The sequence below is a fragment of the Homo sapiens genome, chromosome 4, assembly GCF_000001405.40.
Source record: "Homo sapiens chromosome 4, GRCh38.p14 Primary Assembly".
In the NCBI taxonomy this organism is placed as follows: domain Eukaryota; kingdom Metazoa; phylum Chordata; class Mammalia; order Primates; family Hominidae; genus Homo; species Homo sapiens.
Window position 1 is genome coordinate 161,075,507 of NC_000004.12, and position 19,708 is coordinate 161,095,214.

Consider the following 19,708-nt stretch of genomic DNA (forward strand, 5'->3'; position numbering starts at 1 on the left):
TGTAGAAATAAAAATAATTAGAAAATAATCAATTTTAAAAAATGGAGCTGGCCACACATGCAGAGACATTGCAAACTAAAAATTATGAATTCTAGTGTGAAGAAATAGTGACATCATCATAGAAAAAATGGGAACTTAGCTAAGCTTTACTAATAGCATTTGGCAGAAAAATATATAAAAGAGAATGTAGTACAAAATTTAAAATAGTCTTCCAAAAAGAAGAAAGGAAAGAGAGAAGGCAGAGAAAAATATGTTTCCTAGAAAGAGAAAGGAAGGTGAATTTATTTCACAAGCTTCTGAAGTTGACCATATATTAGATTAGTGATTAAAAAAATAAAAATTAAATTTATCCTTTTTAACTCTCTCTAAACACCCTAGCCACATACTTGTACACACAAATCCCCTTATTACATTTGTGAAAAGCAATTTTAAAGCATCTCAATGTTGTATCTTGATGGCTTTTTAAAACTTTAAAAAATATAAGACACTATTTCAAAGCATGTTGTATCATATATACTAAGTGATGTTTGATGAATTTAAATTATAAATATTTTATTATGCAATTTAATTATTTTTTTTCCAAAAAATAAGTAATGGTGTTGGAAAATGACAAATCATTACAGTTGTTTACCTACTTACATATCGCTAAACACTAAAACATGCAAGTAATTTCAAAATTAAATTACGCTTGACAAGATTAAAAATCTACATATAACTGAAGACTTTTAAAACACAATATTTTGATATATTCTTAAGTATACCTACAGAAAAGTGGTATTAGTACTTTCAATATAAAGGTAATTTGTTGATGTTTAGAAAAATTTTACATGTATATACTTGTTATAGATTTGCAATGGAATGATTTTGGATATGTAAAAAGCTGAGAACTTTCATTATATTGTTGGGTAATTTTGCCCTGGAAGTAAAGCTCAATTCTGCTGATGTAAGTGGAAATACTCTTTTCAATGTTTAAGATTAAAACACTTTTGTGTAACTTAAGAAAAAAAACTTTTTATTAATAAATTTCCTTTATTTAATGTATATTTTATCTGAGGCTCCAAATATTCAGTTGATGTTTATAACTAGAAAATAATTATTTGTACTTTGCCTTCAATGCAGCAAGTACTGAGTGGGAATTAAAATTATGTAAATATTTAATTAATCTATTTGTTATTTCTACCTTTGTTTATTAAATGGGCTCTGAGATCTTACAAAAGTGTTTAAACAAATCAAAACAAACATATGCCCACACAATAACAAAATGTGTAAAACGTATTTCTTACAACGTTTGGTACAGTGTACGGTACATCATTCAGTGAAGAGTCCAAGTTAATGGCTGTCTTATTAGCTCTTTCTATATCTTTTTATGTGCCTTTAAAATCTTGATGCCTTTTTAGTTTAGTCCAGCACTTCAAAAGCACTATAGTCATCATAGAATATCTTAAAAACATGTTACCATTTAGCGCAAAATGTAGTGGCTATCACTCAGAAATAATGAAAAAGCCTAGTAAATCTTTTGGGATCTTATTCTCATGGTTTACATTTCCAATGAAAATAGGTCCCAAATTCTCAAAAGAATACCTGTAAAGACACCAGGAAGGAAAAGTCAAAACACCACTAACCTTTGTCATGCATGCCTAAAAGAGGATATGATAATTCCTGATTTTTGTTATTTTTTTCTTTGTTTCTCATTTGGTAATTAAACCAGTATCACTTATTTTTGGATTTTGTTATGAAAGCCTCACATTCTTGTCACTAATTTCAGTTTTAGTTAGCCTAAATGTCAAGCTTCTAGAGCCAAGAAGATTCCTAAATACTCAAAGACTAAAAACATGCTTGTTTAAATTAAAATAATAATAACAATGAAGAACATTAATAGAAGAAATGTATTATATTGTTCTTATAATATATTTATTACATTAAAATCATTACTTATTTCTTTGGCTTTACCGCAGAGCATATAGCCAAAGGAAAAAAATTTAAAATATGACAGAAAAAATAATAGACATATAGATTGACAATGTGAAATATCTACGAGTCCTAGGATGTTAGACTTCAGAAAATAGATGTCTGAAATTATCCAAAATAATAATAGTAATAATAATAATAATGGTAGAAAAGAGTACCAGTCTTTAGATTAAAAATTCCCAGAAAGCCAAAATATTCAGTGAAAGAGAAGCATAATTAATATCTTCTTGATATGCACAATAATGAGGATAAAGAAAATATCAAACAAATCTTCTAAAAGTAAATAATAATAATAATGGTAATAACAATGGCAATGTAAGCAAATGGTTTGCTAAGCCCTTTCTCTATGCAGGAAAGCATTCAGCTTAGCAAACCATTTGCTAGATAGGCTCAATTCAAGTAAAAACAGGAGATCATATGTTGCATCAAGTTGAAATACATCAATGCATATTTCCCAAAAACAAAATTGACATTTTGGTTTCCAGCTAATTCCTACATTCGCTTATGCAAAGTTTCAGAACTAGGAAAGCGGAGGGATAATTAAATGGGAATTTTAAATCCTATAACATAGATTTGTATTTTGCGTTGTGATTTAAGGTAATGGTTATATGTATGGACTATTGAGTCAGCCTTCTTGGACATGAATTCTGGCCCTGCCACAGATCGGTTCTGTCTGTTCAACTCATTACTCTGCTTGACGCTGGTTTGCTCATGTGAAACATGGAAATTATGAGTACTTAGCATATAGGTTTTCTGTGAGTATTAAATAAGATATTGTAAAGAAAACTCTTAAAACAGTCTTGGGGTCTGGAGGGTTCTATATACATTAATCAATACTTTTTATTACATTAACCAGAAATTGAAACTCAATTGCTTGGAAGTCTTCTATAATCATCTCTATATCACTATAATGATAAAGTTTAGGTTCATCAGGTGAAGGAAGACTGAAGCCTGTCACACATAGTAGATTCAATGTTGGTGGCATCTAGTAGATTCAAAAATAGAAATCTAAGAGAGAGTAACTAAATTATTAGTTTTGCAGTCTTCCTCTTTTTACATTTCATCAAAGAGGGACATAATCCTTCTTTCCTGAAGATAAGTGACTTAATGGAAGGAGTAGATGGGTGTGTGGCAGACAGTGATAATTTCTTCTAAATATACTGACTTGGGAGACTGAGAAGAAGGCAATTGTCTGACATATTCATCAGAACCTGTTTTCTACCACTAGAAAAATGTTTCCTGATCTTCCAAATCATTATTCCATATCAGTTTTCTTGGGTTCATTCTTGCTTATTTCATTTTACCTTATGTCAGGGAGTGATTTTATCAGCTAAAATTTAAAGAATTGGCTAACAAAATCATTTTCAGATATATTTCTATTAATCACCCTCAAATACCTTCATCAGTAAGTAGATGAATTGAGGCCAAGATATCTTATTTTGAGAGAGAAATTTTAAACAGATCCTTCATTATAACAAAGCAAACATCAATGGCATCTCATGGTATCACTGGAGGAACATTTATAATCATGCATTTTTCACAACCATTCTCACATATTATGATGTTACTTGTAATGTTTACAATTATGAATTTGTGTATGAAGTTGGACTTTTCTGTTTGCTGGTGACAGATGGCCAATTTGAACTCTAATAATGGGAGGTATTGACTCATGAAACTATTGGCTCATAATTTGAAAGAGAAGCTCAGGGCCAGCATGACACATTATGGTGGCCTTCTGTCCTGATTTGTCACTTAATGTCCATTTTATTCCCATTAGGACGTGTTAAATTTATGTTTCAAGAGCCCTCAACACAGATTTTCTGGGTCCCTACACTTAAGAGAGCAAACCACCACGGCACATGTATACTTATGTAACAAACCGCACATTCTGCACATGTATCCCAGAACTAAAAGTGAAATTCAAAAAAAAAAAAGAGAGAGATTCAATATAAAAGAGAAAAGCATGTTGATTGCCTCTAATCTTACAAGAAATTGTTCAATGAATTTCCAAGTAGCCCACTTCAGGTGATATGTCCATGCATTTGATCATTACCTGAGCTACAGGTAAGACAGGTCTGCAGAAAGGAAAAGGTAATGCTTGATAAACACATCAGTATATTTCCACTATACCTTCCCCAATGTTACTGATTACATCTAATCTCTATTTACCCACCTCTGTAAGGCATGCTCTTTCCATTTATAATAAGCTTACTCATGATATTTCATTAATGTCTGCCTTTATTATTAATATGTACATGTACAAAGGGCAGGCAGGCATCGTGTCTGTTTTGCTCCTTGATGTGGTCCCATTACCTGGCATATTGACAGGTTTATCATTTGCTCTCACATATTAATAATGAAATAACTGTCTTTTTTCATTCAGTTCATACTAAAAGTTCAGATCCCAACTTGTATTATGTATTATTGAATGCATTCTATATCTGGAAATTATAACTTGTTCTAACAGTGCTTTGCTGAACTACTCTGCTGCTTCTGTTCTTTTCAAAACAATGAAAAATAGTACTTTAAGCCTCATTTTTTTTACCTTGCAAGTGAAAGGGAATCTCTTGCTACATGTGGAAGCAGCTTACGAAGTACTAATGGAATCTAGCCTCAGTAGCTGCTATCATGTTTAAACTAATTTTCATTGTCAAAAAACTTGAGTAAAAAGTTAATATATTCCCAAAGCTCATTTGGATTGTCTTGAATACTCTAGATTTTATGACTGGCAAAATCACCTAGGAAAGAAAAATTTCTCCATTTAACAGTAGTCATCAGTCATCAGATGCTAAGTATAGTACAGTGTTCCACAATTCAGATTGTTGCCAGGCCAGCCTTACTTCTATTAAGAATATTGGCTGTGGGGGGAGCAGGGGTTGGGAATGGGAAGGGCAAAGATGACCAGAGTGGAGAGGTGGAGATTTTCTTTTAGTATTTTTTTGGTTATTTTGAAAAAAAAAGAAAACAAACAAAAACACTGATATCACATGAAAACTTTCTAAAGCCTAGCAAATTAGACAGCTTTTTAAATTTTTTTTTATTTTATTTTTTACATATGTAACTGTTTATGGCACAGGGGAAGGGATTCTCTCCATATTAGTGAAGCAAATTCAGTACAGCTTGGTGCTGGTCAATACTCCCTTAGTAGACATTGTCAGGTGTCACCAGCATTGAACTGGCACTAGCTGCAGTAGCAGCATAGCAGGATGTGAAGGCAACTCTGAACATCTTTAGCCCACTGAAATATTAGCTAGGGGATTTGCTGGCCTTTAGAGGCCTGGAAAAGTAAATTTTATCAAAGAGAAGCAGAGTCAAAGCAGAGGACAAGGTAAAAGGTGATGCTTCTGTGTTAGCCGTGATCATAGGATCACAACCCCTGTGGACCTAAAGGAATAAATAGGACAGAAGCTTTGAAAGAGTCCTCTGGATAGAGACACATAACTTCTCTCAGTTACAGAAATTGTGACACTACATTTACATTCAGACTACTATGTCCTAAAATAACAGGGTTCCTTATACAATATGTTTCAATTAGGTAACAGAGTTGTTGTGAAGAGATATATAAAGTTGGACACTGCATCAATTCAAAGGGTAAAACATTCTGCCAAAAGAGAAGATTTATTTACACCTCTCTATTTAGATGTCATGTAGGAAATATAGAATAGTAGCTAGTTAGTTTCATTTATCTATTCTAAAAGCAGACAGTGGAATACATTTCAAAATGTATATGTCCATTTGGGGAATCTATTACAATTTACCAGGAAGCAGAAAGACTTGAGGAGAAATTAGAAAATTCCAGACTTCATGAGTCTCTGTAATGTAAAAGTGTTTTAAATAACCAAGCTGTCTTATGTTTGATGTATTTTCCTTTGGGGCTTGAGTCATAAACATAGATATATGGAGGGAAGAATTTTATATCAAGTTTTAATGAAAGGTTAATCACTTCAGCATCAATAAGTCATTTACTAGGAAAGACATTCTAATTCATAACTGTAAGGTTTGATATGTGTTTCCATTTATTAAGATGTAGGGAAAGAAAAAATGAAAATAACCAAACTTTAAATGTAGCTATTAACTTGCTTGGTGTTTCATGATGCTAATAGATTCCTGTCAAAATAGAAGCTGACTTCAGATGACCTTGGTTGAAGTTGACTAGCACTGAAATTTAATTAACTGCTGCATTAGGGTAGTAATGAATACACTTTATTGCAGGTTAGTAATAACCAGAAGAGACAAAGCCCAAGGGTGTAAGTTTTTAAGCATGCTGCAGAGATAGCAGAGGAGTAAAATTATATGCAAGCAACTTGAAACTTCTTGTAATAAATTACTTCCAATATTATAATGATATAGACAAAAAGCCATTGATACTTTAAGGAAAATCTCAGAGCAGCAAGTTGCTGGGGAAAGTTTCTTTACACATATGTAAGAATGTACGACCATTAATAGTAGATTAGAAGAGTGGCCAAAATGATCCATGCTTCCTTATGCCCACACTCTTTGCAGAGTGATTTGCAAGTCTTTTCTTTAAAAGGTGGAGACTCTTTCCTTACTCCTGGAATCTGAGCTGATCTGGTGATTTGCTTTGACCAGAGAGAATGACACAGAAGTGATGTTATGTAACTCCTCACTTCAGACTTCAGAGGCCTTGCATGCCTCTGCTCCCTTACTTGGACTCCTGAAACTTCCATATGAATAAGAAAAGACTAGCTTCCTGGAGATGAGAAACCAAATAGAGCAGAGTCAATCAGCTGGTTTATGTCATCCAAGGCCCAAGGCTTGCAAAAGAACCCATACAAGCTCCACAAAGACAACCCTCAACATTTCTTTGAGCTAACCACCAAATGGAACAGAGTCAATCAGCTGGTTTATGTCATCCAAGGCACAAGACTTGCAAAATAGCCCAGACAAGCTCCACATAGACAACCCTCATCATATCTTTGAGCAATCCATCAGCTGACTGCAGTAGGTACATAGCCAAGGACATCCTAGAGCTGACACGCCCACACTGACTCAGTGATTCCTGAGCTCAACAAATGTTTGTTTTAAACCATTGAGTGTTGCCGTAATGTTACATAGCAACAGAAAACTGATGTGGCTGATTATATTGTGTTTGAAAACAAGAGTTTATTTGTTAAAACATTGGGTTTTCTCCTTCAAAAAATTATTGAATCCAGGAGCTGGTTTTTTGAAAGGATCAACAAAATTGATAAACCGCTAGCAAGACTAATAAAGAAAAAAAGAGAGAAGAATCAAATAGACGCAATAAAAAATGATAAAGGGGATATCACCACCGATCCCACAGAAATACAAACTACCATCAGAGAATACTACAAACACCTCTACGCAAATAAACTAGAAAATCTAGAAGAAATGGATAAATTCCTCGACACATACACTCTCCCAAGACTAAACCAGGAAGAAGTTGAATCTCTGAATAGACCAATAACAGGAGCTGAAATTGTGGCAATAATCAATACCTTACCAACCAAAAAGAGTCCAGGACCAGATGGATTCACAGCCGAATTCTACCACAGGTACAAGGAGGAACTGGTACCATTCCTTCTGAAACTATTCCAATCAATAGAAAAAGAGGGAATCCTCCCTAACTCATTTTATGAGGCCAGCATCATCCTGATACCAAAGACTGGCAGAGACACAATCAAAAAAGAGAATTTTAGACCAATATCCTTGATGAACATTGATGCAAAAATCCTCAATAAAATATTGGCAAACCAAATTCAGCAGCACATCAAAAAGCTTATCCACCATGATCAAGTGGGCTTCATCCCGGGGATGGAAGGCTGGTTCAATATACGCAAATCAATAAATGTAATCCAGCATATAAACAGAGCCAAAGACAAAAACCACATGATTATCTCAATAGATGCAGAAAAGGCCTTTGACAAAATTCAACAACCCTTCATGCTAAAAACTCTCAATAAATTAGGTATTGATGGGACGTATTTCAAAATAATAACAGCTATCTATGACAAACCCACAGCCAATATCATACTGAATGGGCAAAAACTGGAAGCATTCCCTTTGAAAACTGCACAAGACAGGGATGCCCTCTCTCACCACTCCTATTCAACATAGTGTTGGAAGTTCTGGCCAGGGCAATTAGGCAGGAGAAGGAAATAAAGGGCATTCAATTAGGAAAAGAGGAAGTCAAATTGTCCCTGTTTGCAGACGACATGATTGTATATCTAGAAAACCCCACTGACTCAGCCCAAAATCTCCTTAAGCTGATAAGGAACTTCAGCAAAGTCTCAGGATACAAAATCAATGTACAAAAATCACAAGCATTCTTATACATCAACAACAGACAAACAGAGAGCCAAATCATGAGTGAACTCCCATTCACAATTGCTTCAAAGAGAATAAAATACCTAGGAATCCAACTTATAAGGGACATGAAGGACCTCTTCAAGGAGAACTACAAACCACTGCTCAAGGAAATAAACGAGGATACAAACAAATGGAAGAACATTCCATGCTCATGGGTAGGAAGAATCAATATCGTGAAAATGGCCATACTGCCCAAGGTAATTTATAGATTCAATGCCATCCCCATCAAGCTACCAATGACTTTCTTCACAGAATTGGAAAAAACTGCTTTAAAGTTCATATGGAACCAAAAAAGAGCCCGCATCGCCAAGTCAATCCTAAGCCAAAAGAACAAAGCTGGAGGCATCACACTACCTGACTTCAAACTATACTACAAGGCTACAGTAACAAAAACAGCATGGTACTGGTACCAAAACAGAGATATAGATCAATGGAACAGAACAGAGCCCTCAGAAATAGCGCCGCGTATCTACAACTATCTGATCTTTGACAAACCTGAGAAAAACAAGCAATGGGGAAAGGATTCCTTATTTAATAAATGGTGCTGGGAAAACTGGCTAGCCATATGTAGAAAGCTGAAACTGGATCCCTTTCTTACACCTTATACAAAAATCAATTCAAGATGGATTAAAGACTTAAACGTTAGACCTAAAACCATAAAAACCCTGGAAGAAAACCTAGGCTTTACCATTCAGGACATAGGCATGGGCAAGGACTTCATGTCTAAAACACCAAAAGGAACGGCAACAAAACCCAAAATTTACAAATGGGATCTAATTAAACTAAAGAGCTTCTGCACAGCAAAAGAAACTATCATCAGAGTGAACAGGCAACCTACAAAATGGGAGAAAATTTTCACAACCTACTCATCTGACAAGGGGCTAATATCCAGAATCTACAATGAACTCCAACAAATTTACAAGAAAAAAACAAACAACCCCATCAAAAAGTGGGTGAAGGACATGAACAGACAATTCTCAAAAGAAGACATTTATGCAGCCAGAAAACACATGAAAAAATGCTCACCATCACTGGCTATCAGAGAAATGCAAATCAAAACCACAATGAGATACCATCTCACACCAGTTAGAATGGCAATCATTAAAAAGTCAGGAAACAACAGGTGCTGGAGAGGATGTGGAGAAATAGGAACACTTTTACACTGTTGGTGGGACTGTAAACTAGTTCAACCATTGTGGAAGTCAGTGTGGCGATTCCTCAGGGATCTAGAACTAGAAATACCATTTGACCCAGCCATCCCATTACTGGGTATATACCCAAAGGACTATAAATCATGCTGCTATAAAGACACATGCACACGTATGTTTATTGCAGCACTATTCACAATAGCAAAGACTTGGAACCAAGCCAAATGTCCAACAATGATAGACTGGATTAAGAAAATGTGGCACATATACACCATGGAATACTAAGCAGCCATAAAAAAATGATGAGTTCATGTCCTTTGTAGGGACATGGATGAAATTAGAAATAGTCATTCTCAGTAAACTATCGCAAGAACAAAAAACCAAACACCGCATATTCTCACTCATAGGTGGGAATTGAACAATGAGAACACATGGACACAGGAAGGGGAACATCACACTCTGGGGCCTGTTGTGGGGTGGGGGGAGGGGGGAGGGATAGCATTGGGAGATATACCTAATGCTAGATGACCAGTTAGTGGGTGCAGCACACCAGCATGGCACATGTATACATATGTAACTAACCTGCACTTTGTGCCCATGTACCCTAAAACTTAAAGTATAATAATAAAAAAATATATATAAAAAAATTGGGTTTTCTTTCCTTACTACCACCTGAAAGACACACTCTAGCCCTATAAGCGGTTTAACACATTTCTAGATTAATTTCACATTAATATTTGGTAGAGAGTATGATTGGAACAGGTGATATTTATAGGTGGTAGAAACAGGATTAAATAGAGTCAGAAAACCAAATTTCTAGATGAAAATTTAGTGTATAATAGAAAGGAAAATTAGTCAGGTTGAGACATTTAATTTATTTTATTCTCATGTTACCTGAGATAGAAATATAACATGACCTTTTGTTTCTCACTTTTCCTCTAGATTAAAATGGAACTGAAACTTGTAGATTGTAGCAGTCCTGAGCTTTCAGGACCTTTCCTTCCTATATCCCCTTGGCTTTTGTATGTCAGATTCCTATTATCTCAAGTGTGAAGTATGGCAAAAACGCACTTTAATGATTTTCTCAAACCAACCGTCTCTCTTTTTAAGCCATGTATCACCCAGTAATGATTTTCAGCCTGAGCCAGATTTAAAAGTTTCATTCTTCAGTTATGATCCTTCAAAGCTTGCTGTATTGCATTGTATCAATATTCCTTCATGAACCCATGCCATTTTAGTTTCTCTGTCTTCCACTTCTCATTCATTGCTCATAAAACCTTAGATGAAGTACTCTTTCCAAATGTGTCATGAAACTTTTAAATTTCTTTAATTTTAGGAACAAAAAATTATATACATGTCTATGTTTCTTCTTTTCCTAGAATGCTAAAGAACTCAAATTCAATTGTGTATATTTGAAAAACTATATTTCAAATATGTATATTTGAAAAACTGTAATTTTTAATGAATGAAAACAAAATTAGTAAGAAAATAAGTAAACTTTCAAAATAAAAGGCACAAGGTGATTAAAAATTGCTGAAGTTCGTCAGAAATATGAGTTTCAGTTATAAAATGTGATGTTTGTTTTGGCAAAGAGAACTAGGGCCTCAGATATACCTGAAAGAGTGTGAAGAGGTTGGTTACTACAGAGTATATTGCAAGTATATGAAAGTAATGAGCTTAGTCTTAGAGGCTCTAATAAAACAATTACCTGAAAAGAGCAGTTAGTGAGTAGGTAAAAAAAAAAAAAAAAAAAAAAAAGAAGAAGAAGAAGAAAGAAAGAAAGAAAGAAAAGGATTACCTGTGAGAAAACATTTTAATTTCTAAATTTTCAAGGCATGATAAATCTAAGTACAGGTAGCCAGCCCGAGGATGTAACAAACTGCACAGCTCATGCACCTAGAAGGTCACGATAAGCAAACAGAATGTAGAGGAGGGGGTCAGACAATAAAGAAAGTTTTGTTATTGGGAAATTGAACCTTAAGTGGGGAAGGGGACAGGGATACAACCTTATAAGGGAGATAATAAAACTTAGGTGATGTCAGGGAAGATTGTAAACCCATAGTACTCGACCAATGAGGAACTGGGCGAGGGAGTTATGAGCTAGGAGATAAATTACCTGCTGTAACTGCCCCAGGTGTGCCTGCCTACCAGGCACCCAATCTAGCAAAACCGCCATTAAAAGTCTCGCTTCCACTGTTCTTTGTGTCTCCAAGTCTACTCTTTGGGTTTGGACAGGTGAATGTATGTTTCTCACATAAGAACAGTTGAAGCAGTACATAGTATTGTGGCTAATATCAGATTGTATAGTCAGAGTGTCTGGATTTTAATCCAGTTTCACACATTTACAAGATATACAACCTTAGGTAAATGTCTAACATGTCTCTGTGCTCTCATCTGTAAATAAGTAATAGCTTTACCTTTTAGGGTTGTTATAAAGATTAAATGAGAAGATTTTATTTTGTAAAATAATTATTTTCTAACTCCTGGACATTGGCCTAAGCAAAGGGTTTATGATTAAGTTCTCAAAAGCAAATGCAACAAAAACAAAAGTAGACAATTGGTACTCATTTTAGCTAAAAATCTTCTACACGGCAAAAAGAAATAACAGACAACCTGCAAAATGGAAAATAATATTTGCAAGCTATGCCTCTGACAATGGACTATCAAGAATCTATAAGGAACTCGGCTGTGCATGGTGGCTCACGTCTGTAATCCCAGCACTTTGGGAGGCTGAGATGGGCAGATCACGAGGTCAGGAGATCGAGACCATCCTGGCTAACATGCTGAAACCCCGTCTCTACTAAAAACACACAAAAAATTAGATGGGCGTGGTGGCGGGTGCCTGTAGTCCCAGCTACTCGGGAGGCTGAGGCAGGAGAATGGCATGAACCCGGAAGGCAGAGCTTGCAGTGAGCCGAGATCACGCCACTGCACTCCAGCCTGGGCAACAGAGCAAGACTCCGTCTCAAAAAAAAAAAAAAAAAACTATGAGGAACTCAAACAACTAAACAAGAAAAGAAATTAAGAAGTGGCCAAAGGACATGAACAGACATTTTCAAAGGAAGACATACAAATAGCCAACAAACATATGAAAAATTTCTCAACATCACTAATCATCAGAGAAACATAAATTAAAACCACAAAGAGATACTATCTTACACCGGTCAGAATGGCAGTTATAAAAAGTCAGAAAAGAACACATGCTGGTGAGGATGCAAAGAAAAGGGAACACGTAGACATTGTTGGCTGGAATGTAAATTAATGCAACTTCTATGGTAAACAGTATGGATATTTCTCAAAGAATTAAAAATGTATCTACCCTTCAATCCTGTAATCCCACTACCGAAAGGAAAATAAACCATTATATCAAAAAGATACCTGTACTTGTATGTTTATTACAACACTATTCACAATAGCAAAGATATAGAAACACCCTTAGTGTTCATCAATGAATGATTGGATAAGTAAAATGTGGTACATATAAATCATGGAATACTACTCAGTCATATAAAAGAATGAAATCATGTCTTTTGCAGCAACGTGGATGGAGGTGGAGGACATTATTCTAAGTGAAATAACTAAGAAACAAAGTCAAATACCACATGTTCTCACTTCTTGGTGTGAGCTAACCAATGACTATGCATTGACATTCAGAGCTGAATAATAGACATCAGAGACTCAGAAAGATAGGCGGGTGGGAGGAATGTGAGGAGGGATGAGAAATTGTCTATTGCGTACGATGTACAGTATTCATGTGATAGTTACAGCAGAAGCGCAGACTTCATCACTGTGTAATATATCCATGTAACAAAACTGCACTTCTGCCCCCTAAATCTACACAAATAAATAACATATTAAAAATGCAAAAAGCTATATTAACATGGTAAACATGTTATTTAAAAATGAAGTACAATATTTTAAAATATTTTATATTCTAAAATTTTTGCCTTGCTCACTTTTTCCGCCACATTCACCTCCCTGCCTTAGAGTATTTGGATCCTCTTTCAACAGATCTCCTGATGTTCTCGTTCATTTCATTCATATCTGTTCAAATGACAAATCCTCAGAGTGTTCTGGCATCATCTCTCCATTTAAAATGGAAGCGTTTCCTACTCTCACCCTCTTCTACTCTGCCTTTATATCTCTACATAGTCCGTATCAATATCTGACATCATATTCTGTGTTTAGTTGTTTGTTTTCACTCTGTTTTTACTAGAATACAATTGGGCAAATGACAGTAGATGTTTTGCCTTTGTATTCTTGTTATTCACTGATTCAAATCCTTCTACATAGAAAAATGTGGCTTATAAGTTCTCACTAATTATTTGTTCAGTATATGTTGAATAAATAAAATACTTTAAAAGACATTTCTATTTTTTCTCACAAGATTTTAAAAAGACCAATGACAAGATTTTTTTGGATGTGCAATCTATATATGAATAAGAGGAATCTAACACCTACAAAGAAAATATTTTATTTAATATACATTTTCAATAAGGGACAGAAACTATAGCTTGATTATCACACTTTTAATTTTTTCATATAATTAAGTTATCAAATCACATAGATATTTTAGACTATAATTTATACCAGGTAATTCCTTAAATGATTTTACTTAATAGAGTGTTCCGGAAATAAAAATACATTTTATTTTAATCAAGTAATACTTTTGGATTGTGTAAACAAAAGGAATAGTACCCCTATTCTTTGTTATATCTCTATCTTTGATGGATAACTAATTGGTGCCTTCGCTTCAAATTTGAGCAGAGTTTCTAATTTGGAACTCAAAGCTAAAGTTAATTCCTAAAATTTTCAAACCAAATTCCTCACTTTTTAAAGAAAATGTTTTTTGTTTTGTTTTGTTTTTGTGATTTAGGCCTGAGGGGAGAAAAGCAGCCAAGAGTAAGGTGCAAGAAAGTCACCCTAAGTCTCCTTCCCTATCTATCCTATGGAACAAAAGTCTTAATCTTTCTTTCTTTCTATTTTTATTTATTTGTTTATTTTTTCTTTGAGACTGGGTCTCGCTCTTTCACCCGGGCTGGAGTGAAGAGGTGTGATCTCTGCTCACTGCAACCTCCACTTCCCAGGTTCGAGTGATTCTTCTGCCTCAGCCTCCCAAGTAGCTGGGATTACAGGCATGCACCACCACGCCTGGCTAATTTTTGCATTTTCAGTAGAGACAGGGTTTTGCCATATTGCCCAGGCTGGTATTAAACTCCTGACCTCATATGATCTGCTCACCTCAGCCTTCCAAAATGCTGGGATTACAGGCGTGAGCCACCGCACCTGGCCAAAAATCTTCATCTTGTTAGGGGAAGGAAAACAAACACTGCAGTCCTTAGGACACTGAAGAAAATCTATTGCAGTTGGGACAAGGGAGTAAAATTAGAAAACAGACTACTTTTGGGAGAGAGGCAGGAACAAAATCTGTAGCCAGAAATACAGGACGAACAGGAAGGGCAGGAACACTGAGGGGATCACTCTCCCTGAGGCCAGGGTCAGAGTGCCTGCCTCAGACTGTGGCTTAATCTGAAAAACAGAATGGATTTTCCATGCCCTCCAGAGTTGGAAGACATAAAAAAGCCATTGGGTAGGAAGCACTGAGTAACAAGCAAGAGTGGAATATTGCTGGTACAGAGATAGGAATAGGATAAGGATGTCAAAAGGGACATTCTCTGAGACACCACAAGAATGGAAAACCTAGAGTGAAAGTGTCACAGCTAAATATGTAAGAAAAAATGCACTAGGGAGTAGAAGGTAGGTATAAAAGAGAGATAACTTCAAGGAGACTGATAAAAAGCAATAATATCTGTAATGGAATAAAAGCTGAGGCCTGGCACGGTGGCTCACGCCTGTAATCGAGCACTTTGAGAGGCTGTGGTGGGCGGATCACGAGGTCAGGAGTTCGAAACCAGCCTGACCAACATGGTGAAACTCTGTCTCTATTAAAAATACAAAAATGAGCCGGGCATGGTGGTGCACACCTGTAATCCCAGCTACTCAGGAGGCTGAGGCAGGAGAATTGCTTAAACCCAGGAGCACGAGGTTGCAATGAGCTGAGATCACGCCACTGCACTCCAGCCTGAGCGACAAGGTGAGACACATATATGGAGATGGTAGATAAAAGTAGAGAGATGAGCAAAACATGTTATTTTACATGGCAAAAATATGTTTTGGGAATGGGACTATCTTATGTATTCAGAGGGTAAGTTTTTATGCCCTGACTCTTCCATCAGAACAGCTTTGGTTACTTTAGCTTTGTGTGTATATGCAGCGGGTTAAAAACGCTCCCTTGTATTTTCCAGGACTGATGTTTGAGCTACAGTAGTGAAGAGGGAACATCAATATCTAGCATTTAATGTTGCCCTAAGTTGAAGCAATTCCCATTGACTTCAGCATGATTTTAATTAACGGGAAGATTTGGCCAATTAAGTTCATCTCCTTGTTGGGCAAGTCCACAAACTCCTACCTGTCACTTGGTACAGGTAGGCTTCACACTCTCACATGTTCAGGCCTCCCTGCTTTCTCAGATTTGGGCACTGGATAGAAGTCATTAAAACAAAAACTTTGTAGTGGATAAGAAAGTATATTATTCAAGAAAAGACTTAGAGGTGTTACATGGGTATTTTAGAAATACCTAGTTGGTATATTAAATTCAATATCATTGAATGTTGATGATATAGTTTTCACTTATAGCATTTTGCTATTGTACACTCTTAGCTTTCCTAAGAACAACAACGTATGTTATTAAACACCTGTAGGAAAACTATGCAACTTTTGGAATTGTAATGTTTTATTCTTTGGTGTTTACTTAAATATTTTATATGAATGTAGTTAGCTATAGTTTAATTTGTATTTGGCACTATAAATATATATAGCTAATTATGTAAATTACATCACATACATTTGAAATATAATAATGTTTAAATACGAAATAAGAACTTTGTTAATTTAAGAAAATAATGGCTTTTTCTGTGACTATCAATATTAATATTTCAAAAATAAAATTCAAATTTACTTGTTATCCAAAATTCATCAGGATTGTAATCTATTTTTCAGCATGCCTGATAATATAAACACATAAAACATAACTAAAAAATTACTAAGAATATATCCCACTGAAGTTTATAGGAATTTTTCTATTAATAATGAAGTACATGCAACATAAAGAAAAACATTCTGCTGTCTCATTATTCTTTCATCTGGAAACAGGAAACTGTTAAAAGTAGAAAAGATTCCAATAGAATCCATGATTCATATTATATATGAGAATGGTTGTCCATATATTAATTCAAGCACCTAATTAATAAATTCTATATCAGACTCAGGAATTGTCACGGGTCCCATAGAAATTTCAGATTATGGCTAGGGAGGCTATATACAACCAGCATCTAAACCATAGGTAGCACTTTTCAGACTGAGGGGATGTGGGACAAAGAGCGACAGCTGGGACCCTGGAACAACAGGTATTCAACAGACCTGCCTCCAGCAAACTGGGACTCATGGTCACCCTAGTTATGTGTCTGCTGTGCTCTACACTGAAATCTCAGTTTGCTCTGCCTCAGCCGCAGACTTTTGATCCCTCACTCGGTAATTTGGAATCAGAGATAATGAGTATAGCTCTAGAGGCAGGAAGGAGGATGGTAGTAAGTTTTGGATAAAAGTTATAAAGAACTGACAAAGAATAGGAATAAGAGACTCTGAATAATGCTCTCTTTATAGACTTTACTGCCTTGGCACCTGAAATGAAAAATCTGAGTGCAGGAATGAGGCACTAGCAATTTACCTTACAGTACTATAGATTTTGAAGATTGATGGCATTTTGTTCTTCTTGTACAGCACATTGGATACGTGAAGAGGTTATATGGTCTGCCTTTGTACACTAAATTTATATCTGATTTATAAGCTGCATAGAGCTCTCCATCAAAATAACAAAAAAGGTTTCAGTGCTGCTTAGAATGGCATTCTGACTTTTGTCTAACAATGAAATGTGATTTAAAGTGTATCACCTTCTTGATGGAGAAATCAAACCCCTCCCCACTGCCTATTTTACAACTTATTTCAAATAAGTCCTTCAATTTGGTTTGTGGCAAGTATGATTTCTTCAACTTTGACAGATTTATTTTGATTCTGACAAAAGTATCACCAAATAATGGCTCTGTTCTAAAAGGGAAGGCACTTACTTTTGCCTTTGACGACATAACAGCTTACCAAGGGGATCATGTAGCAAATTCTAAAATGTCCACTGTTACATACAGAAGGTAGCCCCCACCTAAGCTTCAGTTAACACTTTAATAACCTTGTGAATCTAAAAATATATATGAATGACAGTCTAATCAATATGAGGTTAAAAGGAGAAAGCTGACCTATAATTAAATAGGAGCACCTCAGAGTTTTCATGAATTTGCCATGAAGCAATGTTCTATCTAGAGGCTGAATAAGTGCTTCTTGGGACCATTGTTCTAAATTAATAAATGATTTTTTTAAAAAAAGAAAAAATGACAACACACAGCCTTAAAGGAAACTTTAAAAGTTTTAAAGGAATTTTATTCTCTTAGATTAAAAAAAATACTATTTTGAAATATATTTATGGGAGAGTCTAAATACATTTTTAGCAAAACTATATATAGGTCAGGAAGTTGAACAGAGTTAGGGTAGTTGAGTGTAACTTTAACACATGATTGTATTATCCACACATATTATATAGCACAAAGAGAAAATTTAGATTGCAATACAGTCAAAAGAGTATATTATATTCTTTTGAAGTTCCAGTACACACACATGCAAAATAGTGGTAGAAATCAAACTATTTTGATTATCTCTGTAAGGCCCCATTGCTTAGAAAGCAGTACAAATGAATCTTTGGCAATTCTGGAAATATTGTATATTCTGAACTGTATTATATTGACATGGATGTACACATTTATAAAAAGGAATATCTATATGAAAGATAAGTAAATTCAAAGCCCTTTACTGCATAAATATTGTACATCAATAAAAACTTAACTAAAAATTATAGAATACAGCAAAAGCAATGAAATTTCTTGAGAAGAAGCAAGGCCCAAAGAAATTTGAGAGACTTAACTGCATATGTTAGAAAGGAAGAAAGGCTAAAGTCATTGACCTAAGCATAATTCTCAATAAGATAAGAAAAAGAACACTAATGAATGAAAAGTAGGAAGTAGAAGTAGATTACAGTCTGGTAATCTAACTAAAATATATAAAAGCAATATAAAAAAGAAAACTAAAGAAACATTGTTAAAAATAATAAAATTTAATGAAAAATGCAGTGTATGGATCAGGAACCAAAAAAAGAGAAGACATAATATCTAATGACAAAGGAGGCATCACAATATATCCTAAAAGCAATAAAGGTAAGGGGAAATATAAAGAAAATTGGATGAATAAATTTTAAAATATAAATAAAAGTGATTATTCCTAGCAGACACAGCTACCAAAAACAGTCCAAAATTAGAAAATATAAAGTCTTACAACTTTTAAATAAAATAAATCATTTTATTTTTATTATCATTTTTAGTATTATTATTTTAGATATGGGATCTCTCTCTGTGGCTAGGCTGAAGTCTCACAGTCCTGGCCTAAAGTGATCCACCTGCCTTGACCTCCCAAAGTTTTGGGATTACAGGTGTGAGTCACTGTGCCTGGTCTAAGTAAAATAAATCTTAATTAAAAACCTTTTCACAAGATTCTAGGCTCAGTTTGTTCACAGGTCAATTCAACAGACATTTAAGGAAAAACTACTGCAAATCTTTCAACAATTCCTCCAAACAACATAAAGAAGTATTTCTCACAATGTGTTTTCTCAGTCCATCATGCACTTGCTATCAAATCTGACAAGGATATTACAAGAAAGGAAAATTAGAGGTCAATTGTTCACGAACATAGATGAAATGTCCCTAAATAGAATATAAAGAATGTGGTTCCTTTTAAATAGAGGGAATATATTTATACATTGGATTTATTCATTCTCTGCTAAGTTTTTATGAATGTTAAAATGTAATTAGAGAATTTATCATGTTAAGAAAACAAAAATCAGAAACATTTCAACATATACAGAAAGCCATGTAATAAATAGGCTGTCATTTTCTTCATCTGATATAGAATTTCTATTAAGAAAATACTACAGCAAACATACTTGCTAGTGAATTTTTAAACTGTCTATCAGAGATCGTAAATGAGACAAAGATACTCACTAGCATCACAGCTACTAAATATTAATTGAG

General features: G+C 34.8%; 1 long non-coding RNA gene across 1 annotated transcript in view, besides 2 other annotated features; it reads right to left on the reverse strand.

Moving 5' to 3' along the window:
- Positions 1-19,708, reverse strand: part of LOC105377514 (uncharacterized) — a 58,262-nt gene that overhangs the window by 8,875 nt on the left and 29,679 nt on the right. The gene's annotated exons all lie outside the window — the stretch shown is intronic.
- Positions 4,865-5,034: an enhancer, noted in NCBI's record as "experimental_75287 CRE fragment used in MPRA reporter constructs". NCBI's record gives its function as "activates a minimal promoter by MPRAs in K562 erythroleukemia cells, with activity observed for both the introgressed and non-introgressed 4:162001608 variant alleles {active_cell/tissue: K562}" and the evidence as "EXISTENCE:reporter gene assay evidence [ECO:0000049][PMID:34662402]".
- Positions 15,170-15,339: an enhancer, noted in NCBI's record as "experimental_75306 CRE fragment used in MPRA reporter constructs". NCBI's record gives its function as "activates a minimal promoter by MPRAs in K562 erythroleukemia cells, with activity observed for both the introgressed and non-introgressed 4:162011913 variant alleles {active_cell/tissue: K562}" and the evidence as "EXISTENCE:reporter gene assay evidence [ECO:0000049][PMID:34662402]".